Raw genomic sequence first — 12105 nt, forward strand, 5'->3', positions numbered from 1 at the left:
CGTATAGTATTTACTACATGAATTCGTGAATAAATGATACAATAAGTGGAAGCTGATTTGTAGTTCTGAATATGAGGACTTTACATAATTTCAAAGAAAGCATAAAAATTTTCATAAATTTGTAGGAAAATCAGAGTAACAAGAAATGAGTTACATGATTCTTTTCACTGACTCCTATGAATCTTTCCACTGACCCTACATAGTTTCCTGGGTAGGAGCAATATTCGTCATTCTTCCATTGTTCCTTTGGTGGAGGCTTTCCCCCAGTAAATCCTGATGAGCTCTCCTAAACAAATGGACACTTGAAATTGGTGGGCAATCAGTTAATCAGTAGGTGTCATAGCACCATAAGTGGGCTGGGCGTGGTGGCTCATGCCTGTAATCCCAGCACTTTGGGAGGCCAAGGAGGGCAGATCACTTGAAGTCAGGAGTTCAAGACCAGCCTGATCAACATGGAGAAACCCCCGTCTCTACTAAAAATACAAAATTAGCCAGGCATGGTGGTGCATGCCTGTAATCCCAGCTACTCGGGAAGCTGAGGCAGGAGAGTCGCTTGAACCTGGGAGGCAGACGTTGGAGTGAGCCAAGATCTGCCATTGCACTCTAGCCTGGGCAACAAGAGTGAAACTCCATCAAAAAAAAAAAAGAAAGAAACAAACATACAAACAAAAAAACACATCAAAATGATAGGAGAGTCCTGAAAGAGGGATGGTATTATGAAGAAAGAAGGCTTTCATGCAGCTGCTTCTGGATTTGGAAGAAATTTTCTAAAGTTTATTTTAGTAACTAAGGTATAAAGTTAGCAACATTATGAATAAAATGTCAAAGGAAGATTCTACAAATTAAATATTGCCATTAAAAAGAGGTGGGAAACGTGCCGCTTTCATCTTCTTATCACAGCAAGCAATCGCCTCTCCGAGGCCCTCAATCCTAGCTCAGTTCCCACTTTCTCCATGAAGCCTTGGCTGACCACTGCAGTGGGAATTTTTTCTTCCCACTAAGGATCTTATGTTCAGATTGGTGGTAAGGATAAATAGTATAAACTCAAATGAATAAAAATTAAAACATTTCTGTTTTCTTTAAATCTTATTTTAAGCTCCAGGAAACATGTGTAGGATGTGCAGGTTTGTTACATAGGTAAATGTGTGCCCAAAACATGGCTCTTAAAATTTGTTTAGAAATTGGAATTTGCCTTACTCTTTAGGTCTCAAAGGAGTAAGGTCTGTGATGTTCAGAGGATTGCATCTCTCAGACTGTGCTCTTACAATTTAGTAGGTCTCTGATGTTCAAAGGATTAGGTCTCTCAGGCTGTGCTCTGAAGTCAATGCCAACTAAATCCCTTTAGAATTATTTCGAACATCTGAACCATTCTCTACCAGTGACATAAATATTGGCATCAACCTCTTTGTAAAACTATTCTCCTAAATGATCAAGAAGATAGAGCTTAATTGTGAGATCTACTTTAAAAACTGTTATCAGGCAACCTACTGGCCCCTTTAAAACTCTTACCAGGGAAAATTCAGGTGAGAAAGAATTTAAAACTTATTTTTGCTAGAAATATTAATGACATGAAACGTTTATTTCTCTAAGTTATTTAAGGTTTTTTTCTTAAAACTCTAATTTTTCAATGTTTTAAGCTGGTTAAATTATTTTTAAATCTAAAGTCTATTGTGTAAGCTTTAGACAAATGACTATCATTCATTTGTATCACTTCTGAATTCAACAGAAGTCTAAATTTATATCAAGAGATAAAAGCACACTTTTATAGTAATAACAGAATACATTAATGAAGACTTTGAAACTTATTTGAATAATGTAGTTTGTCCTATTACTTATAAACTTGATGAAATGAATTATTAACCTCTACAATGAAATAGAGTTTAAAATTTTTGTGTTGGGCATTCCTATGTATTAAACAAATTATATAAGTAAGGACTATAATTTCAAACCAGTCTTTCAAATCCCAATATAATTTTGAGGAATGTTCTAGTTTCTTTTTTATTCTTAGAGAAATAAAATATCAATGTAAAATTTATTTCTATCTGACCAATGGACAACTGGGTGAACTGAAGGAAATTTTATATTATATAACTTCAAGCTGGCAAGGGCAAGGCAGTTAATGAAAAAGTTATTCAAATTACATAAGTTTCAAACGTTATTTTAAAAATATTGATCTTAAAGGTACATCAGCCAGGTGCAGTGGCTCATGCCTGTAATCTCAGCACTTTGGGAGGCTGAGGCAGGAGGATCACTTGAGGTCAGGAGTTTGAGACCAGCCTAGCCAACATGGTGAAACCCCACCTCTGCTAAAAATACAAAAAATAAATAGCCAAGCAGGTGGCGCATGCCTGTAATTTCATACTTGGTAGGCAGAGGCAGGAGAATCCCTTGAACCTGGGAGGTGGAGGTTGCAGTGAGCCAAGACTGTACCTCTGCACTCCAGCCTGGGCGACACAGTAAGACCCTGTTTCAAAAAATAAACTTTAAAAAAATATATATATACACACCAACTTCAAGTAATCTGAGATTTGAAAGTTAGTAATACCTTCAGAAACCAAAAAGGAGAGATCTTCTTATATCTTTCCAAAATGGTTTTCCTCTGTTCCCAAACTTCGGAGTATAGTTGTGGTCAATGAATATCCAGAAAACTGTCTATCTAGAAATATCTAGGAGGGTCAGTCAACCTTTCAAAGCAAGTAGGTAGCATAAAGCAGGCATCCAATGACTATCAGTTCAATTAATACATGATTCCCAAAGTAACAAAGATAAATAAGGTAGATTGAAACAAAATGCTCCCCGATAGGTAAGAACTCTTTGTCTATAAGTACATATAATGAGTAGATAATGAAAGTTTTTAAAATATCCCAAAATTTTAATAAATGTGAACACCCTAGAATCTAGGAATACAGTGAAAACACATGACATTTGAAAGAGTAAAAGTTGACACCAAAGAGATATTGCTTCCATAGAGGAGGTGACCTTAAGATTGCATTACCACATGATGTGGACATATGCCTGAATAGTTTGAGATGCAGGATTGCCAGCAAATTCCTATTATTTATAACTGGTGATGCCATTATCATAAAAGTGGAGTAGGCATTTGCTCAATGAATCCATTGTAACATTATTCACAGTAGAATTGTGAAGTGCAGAAAACATTAGTTAAATTCCCATGATTATTGTGCACTTAATCAAGTTATAAAACACTGCAGACCTAAGAGCATGCCATTTTATTTACTTAATAAAAAATTTCTATCCTGATTATTGAAGCAATAGCCATTGCAGACAATTTGAAAGAAATGGAGGAAAATATAAAGCCGAAAAATAATTGACCTCTAATTTTTATTGCATAGAAAAAACTAGTAATATTTTGATGTATTGTCATGCTACTTTTTTTAACCTTCATATGTAAGCATTTATTTGGAAATTGCAATTATTTTGTTTATAAAACTTTCTATTTTGTTTTTTACATAACGTATTTCTATCTATTTTATCATTACAATAATCTTCAAGGTAAACAGCATTTTTAATGATTGTACGATATGCCATCGTGTGAATGATTCACATTTATTTCATCATAACTTACTAAATGGTTATACCACCACTTTTAGATGTTTTGAATTTTTATGATTATGAATGAAATTACAATGGACATCATTTTATGTCAATCTTTGTAGAAGAGTCTAATTATTTCTTTCTGGTCAATTCATTATTATTGGCCAAAGGATGTGAATGTTTAAGAGTTTCTTTAATTTATTACAAATTATTTTCCAGTAATTGCACAAATTTTAGATAACACTATATATTATCATTTCTTTTTAAAAACATCTTGCCATTTTAATAGGCAAAATAAATATAGCCTCATAGCTATTTTAAATTATGTTTCTCTGATTAGTAATGAGGTTATAAATTTTTAATTTGTAAAAAATTATATTTCCTTCATATTTTTCTGTTCTGCCATTGACCTATTTTCTAGTGATTATTTGTACTGCTTCCTTCCTAAAACACAACTAGAGAAACAATATCCTATTTATTCCAGTCTCCCAGTTTTTGTTTGATGCTTAATTTTTATTCATGATTTTTGACTTATATAAATAAATTTGTCTTTTTTTTTTAATTTTTTTTTATTATACTTTAAGTTTTAGGGTACATGTGCACATTGTGCAGGTTAGTTACATATGTATACATGTGCCATGCTGGTGCGCTGCACCCACTAACGTGTCATCTAGCATTAGGTATATCTCCCAATGCTATCCCTCCCCGGTCCCCCGACCCCACCACAGTCCCCAGAGTGTGATATTCCCCTTCCTGTGTCCATGTGATCTCATTGTTCAATTCCCACCTATGAGTGAGAATATGCAGTGTTTGGTTTTTTGTTCTTGCGATAGTTTACTGAGAATGATGGTTTCCAATTTCATCCATGTCCCTACAAAGGACATGAACTCATCATTTTTTATGGCTGCATAGTATTCCATGGTGTATATGTGCCACATTTTCTTAATCCAGTCTATCATTGTTGGACATTTGGGTTGGTTCCAAGTCTTTGCTACTGTGAATAATGCCGCAGTAAACATACGTGTGCATGTGTCTTTATAGCAGCATGATTTATAGTCATTTGGGTATATACCCAGTAATGGGATGGCTGGGTCAAATGGTATTTCTAGTTCTAGATCCCTGAGGAATCGCCACACTGACTTCCACAATGGTTGAACTAGTTTACAGTCCCACCAACAGTGTAAAAGTGTTCCTATTTCTCCACATCCTCTCCAGCACCTGTTGTTTCCTGACTTTTTAATGATTGCCATTCTAACTGGTGTGAGATGATATCTCATAGTGGTTTTGATTTGCATTTCTGTGATGGCCAGTGATGATGAGCATTTTTTCATGTGTTTTTTGGCTGCATAAATGTCTTCTTTTGAGAAGTGTCTGTTCATGTCCTTCGCCCACTTTTTGATGGGGTTGTTTGTTTTTTTCTTGTAAATTTGTTTGAGTTCATTGTAGATTCTGGATATTAGCCGTTTGTCAGATGTGTAGGTTGCGAAAATTTTCTCCCATTTTGTAGGTTGCCTGTTCACTCTGATGGTAGTTTCTTTTGCTGTGCAGAAGCTCTTTAGTTTAATTAGATCCCATTTGTCAATTTTGGCTTTTGTTGCCATTGCTTTTGGTGTTTTGGACATGAAGTCCTTGCCCACGCCTATGTCCTGAAAGGTAATGCCTAGGTTTTCTTCTAGGGTTTTTATGGTTTTAGGTCTAACGTTTAAATCTTTAATCCATCTTGAATTGATTTTTGTATAAGCTGTAAGGAAGGGATCCAGTTTCAGCTTTCTACCTATGGCTATCCAGTTTTCCCAGCACCATTTATTAAATAGGGAATCCTTTCCCCATTGCTTGTTTTTCTCAGGTTTGTCAAAGATCAGATAGTTGTAGATATGCAGCATTATTTCTGAGGGCTCTGTTCTGTTCCATTGATCTATATCTCTGTTTTGGTACCAGTACCATGCTGTTTTGGTTACTGTAGCCTTGTAGTATAGTTTGAAGTCAGGTAGTGTGATGCCTCCAGCTTTGTTCTTTTGGCTTAGGATTGACTTGGCGATGCGGGCTCTTTTTTGGTTCCATATGAACTTTAAAGTAGTTTTTTCCAATTCTGTGAAGAAAGTCATTGGTAGCTTGATGGGGATGGCATTGAATCTGTAAATTACCTTGGGCAGTATGGCCATTTTCACGATATTGATTCTTCCTACCCATGGGCATGGAATGTTCTTCCATTTGTTTGTGTCCTCTTTTATTTCCTTGAGCAGTGGTTTGTAGTTCTCCTTGAAGAGGTCCTTCACATCCCTTGTAAGTTGGATTCCTAGGTATTTTATTCTCTTTGAAGCAATTGTGAATGGGAGTTCACTCATGATTTGGCTCTCTGTTTGTCTGTTGTTGGTGTATAAGAATGCTTGTGATTTTTTTACATTGATTTTGTATCCTGAGACTTTGCTGAAGTTGCTTATCAGCTTAAGGAGATTTTGGGCTGAGACGATGGGGTTTTCTAGATAAACAATCATGTCGTCTGCAAACAGGGACAATTTGACTTCCTCTTTTCCTAATTGAATACCCTTTATTTCCTTCTCCTGCCTGATTGCCCTGGCCAGAACTTCCAACACTATGTTGAATAGGAGCGGTGAGAGAGGGCATCCCTATCTTGTGCCAGTTTTCAAAGGGAATGCTTCCAGTTTTTAACCTTTTTCTTGAATTTTTGATAGCATTTAAATTTCATGCACACATGAATAATTCTTAATTGTATGCATAAATTGTATTATAAATAACCTGGATGGTTTCTAGTATAGGCATTTTTTCTCATTTCCCCTAATCTCTCTGTCTCCTCCCCACTTCCGTCCACATTCCTTTTCCTCCCCACCCCAGAGGGGTAAAAATACCTTAAAAATAGCCTGCTTCCAAAGCATGTTATGTTTAAGTGTACACTCCAGCAGTATTGGAGATAGTTAATTACTAAGAATATACAACTGAAAATAGGCATTTAAATTTTTTATTGTGATAGAAAATACATAAAATTTATCATCTTAGCCATATTTAAGAGTGTAGTTCAATAGAATTAAATACATTTGCAATGTTGTATTAATACAGCCATCACCACTACTCATCCAGAACTTTATCTTCCCAAACTGAAACTCTGTAACCATTAAGAAATAGCTCCCTGTGCCCACCTCCCACTAACAACCACCACTCTATATTCTGTCTTTATAAATTTGACTACTCTAGGTACCTGTAAATGGAATAACAGAATCTTTGTCCTTTTTTGACTGGCTTACTTCAATTAGCATTATGTCTCCAAGGTTGATCCATGTTGTAACATGTCAGAATTTCTTCCCTTTTTAGGGTTGAATAATGTTCCATTATATGTATATACCACCATTTATTTATTCATCATCCTTGGACATTTGGTTTGCTTCCACCTTTTGACTATTATGAATAATGCTGCTATTAACATTGGCATATAAAAATACTCTTTTAAACAACATTGTTAATCAGTACATATATATTCATTGAAATTTTGGGGAATGTTGATACTAATTGCTGACATTTAAATTATGAATCAGCTTTACTTAACCCATATAGAGAAGTGTTGTTCTCTGGATCTTTCTGTCAAGACCTCAAAACCCATCTTTGTGAAGATAATCTGATGTATTTCTTCCTCAAAATGTGCTGGAAATATTCACAATAGCAGAGACATGGAATCAACCTAAATGCCCATCAACAATTGACTGGATAAAGAAAATGTGGTACATACACAGCATGGAATACTATGCAGCCATAAGAAAGAATGAGATCATGTCCTTTGTAGCAACATGGACAGAGCTGGAGGCCATTATCCTAAGCAAACTAATGAAGGAACAGAAAACCAGGTATTGCATGTTCTCACTTATGAGTGAGAGCTAAACACTGAGTACACATGTACAGAAAGAATGGAACGACAGACAGTGGGGCCTACTTGACAGTGGAGGGTGGAAGGACAGAGAGACTGAAAAACTACTATTAGGTACTATTAAAATGGTTTAAAAATGATTTTAAAAGGTACTGAAAATATGTTTCATCACTAGCCAAAGAGGTAATTCCTTTATGGAAATTCATTCTCCCCATGAATGGGGCATGCACCAAAGTCCAGGCAACATGAGGAAACATTGTGGAAGATGCTCTCCTTCCTTTAAGCCAAAGAGACCTAAATAACTGTGGCATATTATAAATTAGTGCCTTCTTTCTCCACAATTTTTTTTCAGACAAGTCAGGAATGGCTGAAGAAAATCATACCATGAAAAATGAGTTTATCCTCACAGGATTTACAGATCACCCTGAGCTGAAGACTCTGCTGTTTGTGGTGTTCTTTGCCATCTATCTGATCACCGTGGTGGGGAATATTAGTTTGGTGGCACTGATATTTACACACCGTCGGCTTCACACACCAATGTACATCTTTCTGGGAAATCTGGCTCTTGTGGATTCTTGCTGTGCCTGTGCTATTACCCCCAAAATGTTAGAGAACTTCTTTTCTGAGAACAAAAGGATTTCCCTCTATGAATGTGCAGTACAGTTTTATTTTCTTTGCACTGTGGAAACTGCAGACTGCTTTCTTCTGGCAGCAATGGCCTATGACCGCTATGTGGCCATATGCAACCCACTGCAGTACCACATCATGATGTCCAAGAAACTCTGCATTCAGATGACCACAGGGGCCTTCATAGCTGGAAACCTGCATTCCATGATTCATGTAGGGCTTGTATTTAGGTTAGTTTTCTGTGGATCGAATCACATCAACCACTTTTACTGTGATATTCTTCCCTTGTATAGACTCTCTTGTGTTGATCCTTATATCAATGAACTGGTTCTATTCATCTTCTCAGGTTCAGTTCAAGTCTTTACCATAGGTAGTGTCTTAATATCTTATCTCTATATTCTTCTTACTATTTTCAAAATGAAATCCAAAGAGGGAAGGGCCAAAGCTTTTTCTACCTGTGCATCCCACTTTTTGTCAGTTTCATTATTCTATGGATCTCTTTTCTTCATGTACGTTAGACCAAATTTGCTTGAAGAAGGGGATAAAGATATACCAGCTGCAATTTTATTTACAATAGTAGTTCCCTTACTAAATCCTTTCATTTATAGCCTGAGAAATAGGGAAGTAATAAGTGTCTTAAGAAAAATTCTGATGAAGAAATAATCTCAAGAAAGATGGAAACAAGTGACATCTACTATAGCTTAATGATTTAAATGCAGCAAAAACTTCCATGTGAAATTACACAGGGGAAATGCATAAATTATAAGTAAAATTTTAATATATAAGAATACATTCAAATTAAGTGGCAAGAGGTAAGGGTAGAATATACAAAAAAGAGTAAACTGTGGTAAATCTTAATTCAAAATAACAAAAATGAAATTCTAATTTTGAACTCATTCAAGTAACAATGTAGTATGTTGTCAAGCTCTTGGTCTGTGTTGGCATCAGGGATGATAAGCATCCAAAAGAACACAGCAAAACTGGAAGTTACAAGTTCAAAGGACCATTCCATTAAGCATTGATAACCAGATAAGTTATTTTAATAGCTTAGAGCATGAGCATTATGGTTAAACTGAAAGAGTTTAAGATCATATGATGGTCAACCAGTAAAATCACTTACATCCATGAGCAACAAAATTGTGACAAGCGAATTTTGAGAAATCAATTTTAATAGCATTATGGGGACATTACTGTAGTTAGAAAGGAAGTATTAGGAAAACGAAGGTGTCAAATAATAGTGAATATCAGATTTCCAAATTTAAATTATTACTGAGTTAAATATTAAACACAGAATGTCAATTTTCAAGTCAAGCTACATTAAGAGAGTTTTATCTACTCCCATATCTACCTGCATAAATATACCATAACACAAACTTCCAGAAAAGCAGTTCAAACCTCATGTAGGATTTGAAGAGCTTCTTTGTTAGTGAGTTAGGTGCAATGTCTCTGTGCTCCTACTTGAGAGGTGAGGAAAGGTTTCAACAATAGAGACCACTACCCTGGGTATATTATATATAGAAATGTAAAACATAGTGTTGTTAAACTGTAGGTAGAGTTTATCTAATTTTTTTTTCTTTTCACTATTGCAAAACCTGAAGTTGGTATTGTGGGTAGAGTAATGATCTTAATGTGATATCATTTTAAAAATTACTTTCCAATTATTCACTCAACATATATTTATTGAAATCCTGCTATAGGTAGGCATTGTTCTGGGTGTTGGGCCATATCAGTTACAAAAAATGCCAGTTTTTCCATCTTCTCGAAGAATAGAATATTGCCACAATTTTTATTACTAACTTCTGGATTAAGAAGGACCTATGTCACATAATAGAAAAACATCTCCCTTCCACCTCTTGCTCTGAGGACCTGTCTAAATTCCCAGAAAGCAATTGTCAAGTGCTCCAGGTTAGCCAGCCACCAGAGGCTGGCATCACAGGAAAAATCAATATGCTGAGTCTGTACAGAAAAAGTAATAGGAGAGCAGATGAATTTCCAATTCCCTAACTCATCAATGCAAAAATATAACCACCTAGTTTTTCTTTGTAACCTCCAAGAAAATCTAACCTAGTTCATTCCAATTATACTTGGACATGTGAAGATCTTGTTTGTTTCAAATTAAATTCCATCAATTTAGGATTTACCCAACACTACCTACATCCTTCCTTCATCACATATAGGTCCTTGCCTGGTATCATGGCACTGAGCACAGGTGCCAGATTATATATGAGCTCTGTCCAAGCTATGATTCTGTGAGATGTTTGAGCCTATTTGACCCGTTGGTTATTTCTTCATGCCACCATCACTTCAGGTATCTACGTCCATGTCTACTCCTCAGGCTGCATTGATTTTCAGCTAAAATGTCTATTTATCCAACCCACAAGGCTTTGGGTTGGCTGGCTCTCTCTCTCTTACTCTTCATCTGCTAATTTCTGAGTAAATTCTCTTGACCTCTTCCCAGTGGGTCCAGGAAATGTTGAAATGCATCATTTTTGCACTTCCGATGCTACACAATACCAGTACAATGTAGGATTTTGAAAGCTTACATGGGTCCCTTTTGAAGGTCCCTTTTGCACATAGGTCACCAAACCTCCCTGAGCAATTGTCACCCCACTCCCATGCCAGGACACCCCCTGGGAATTGAAACCACAGAACCTTTTCCAGGCAACACGAACTCTTCCCTTCTTGATGTTGCTTTTTTTCCCAACTGACTGAATCCTTAATTCTAGGATGATACTTAGTTTTCACATCATTACAAATGTTTCCCAAATGTACTTTTATGGAGTAAAATTGGACTCAAAAATGAGACTCTGTCTTAGTCTATTCTCTCTGTCTGGAATATCAAAGGTATGCTCAGAAATAAAAAAAAAGTGAGGGATAACACTGTTGTATGGCTCTGGCCTCCTTTTCTTATATCAAAAAATGTGAACTGCCCTGGTTACTGTCTGAAACGGCAGGCATAGTTATTGGGTAAGACAGAATTACAGGCAGGCTTTATCTGAGAATTACTGGTTATGGGAGAAAAATATCTGATAAAATGAATATTTTTAAAATCTCGACTCATTTTATGGTATGCAGAGGAAAACAGACATGTTTAAAACAATATTTTGAAAAATAAAATTAAAAATTATAAATATTTTATCTCATCCTTAATCAAAGTTTACTTATAATCACAAATGTGTACATAATTTTTTAAAAATTTTAAAAAGAGTGAATCAAATATAAAGGATTTTCCTTGGTATTATTTTTCAGAAAATTAAAGTATGAAAATTCAAAACAACCTTTATTTAACTTTTTACTTCAAGGAATAATAGTAATAATAATAATAATAATAATAATAATAATAATAATTGATTTTTTAAAAAAACGGTGACACTACAGGGGCATCACTTCTTTATTGTACAGATTTTTCTCTTTTGAATTTGTTTATATTTTTCTCATTTGTTCTTTTTTCACATTTTAATTGTTTTATGTCTGCAAGGACCTACTTGTCAATAGGGCTTTACATTTCATTCAAGTGGCAATCCAACACAATTTTCATCCACTTCATGAAATCGATCACATCTTTCTCAAGATCATTTCACACTAAAGTTCAAGCATGTTTACTGTATCAGAAAATCAGTGGGTGAGATATTGGAACAATGGCTGAAGATAGACACTAGAGTGAAGCATGGAGAAATGGTTAAGGGGAAAGTAATTCTAGAAGTGGTTGGTTCACTTAGGAATATTTGTGTTCTGACAATTCTTACTTGCCTAGACAGCATTGTCACTTCAGGAACTGACATATTGAATGACATGATAACGTGAATCTCCTTGTTGACTCATCAGTTAATATCATAATTTTACCTCATTATGTATACAAATATTAACACTTGGGTTAATTTGTAGGTATTTCTATTTTATTTTTATTTCAATAGGTATTGGGGGAACAGGAGGTATTTTGTTACATTGATAAGTTCTTTAGTGGTGATTTCTGAGATTTTGATGCACCCATCACTGGAGCAGTGTACACTGTACCCAATTTGTAGTCTTTTATCCTTCACTCCCCTCCC

At 35.4% G+C, this 12105-nt stretch overlaps 1 protein-coding gene across 1 annotated transcript; it reads left to right on the plus strand.

Annotated features, from left to right (window-relative positions):
- Positions 1-1416: 1416 nt before the first annotated feature.
- On the plus strand, positions 1417-11140 carry OR5K1 (olfactory receptor family 5 subfamily K member 1). Its single transcript, NM_001004736.4, has 2 exons — positions 1417-1523; positions 7782-11140. Exon 2 carries the CDS (start codon positions 7793-7795, stop codon positions 8717-8719), a length of 927 nt encoding a protein of 308 aa, NP_001004736.2. The 5' UTR covers positions 1417-1523; positions 7782-7792; the 3' UTR covers positions 8720-11140.
- Positions 11141-12105: the final 965 nt, after the last annotated feature.

This window comes from Homo sapiens, chromosome 3 (genome assembly GCF_000001405.40).
Source record: "Homo sapiens chromosome 3, GRCh38.p14 Primary Assembly".
In the NCBI taxonomy this organism is placed as follows: Eukaryota; Metazoa; Chordata; class Mammalia; order Primates; family Hominidae; genus Homo; species Homo sapiens.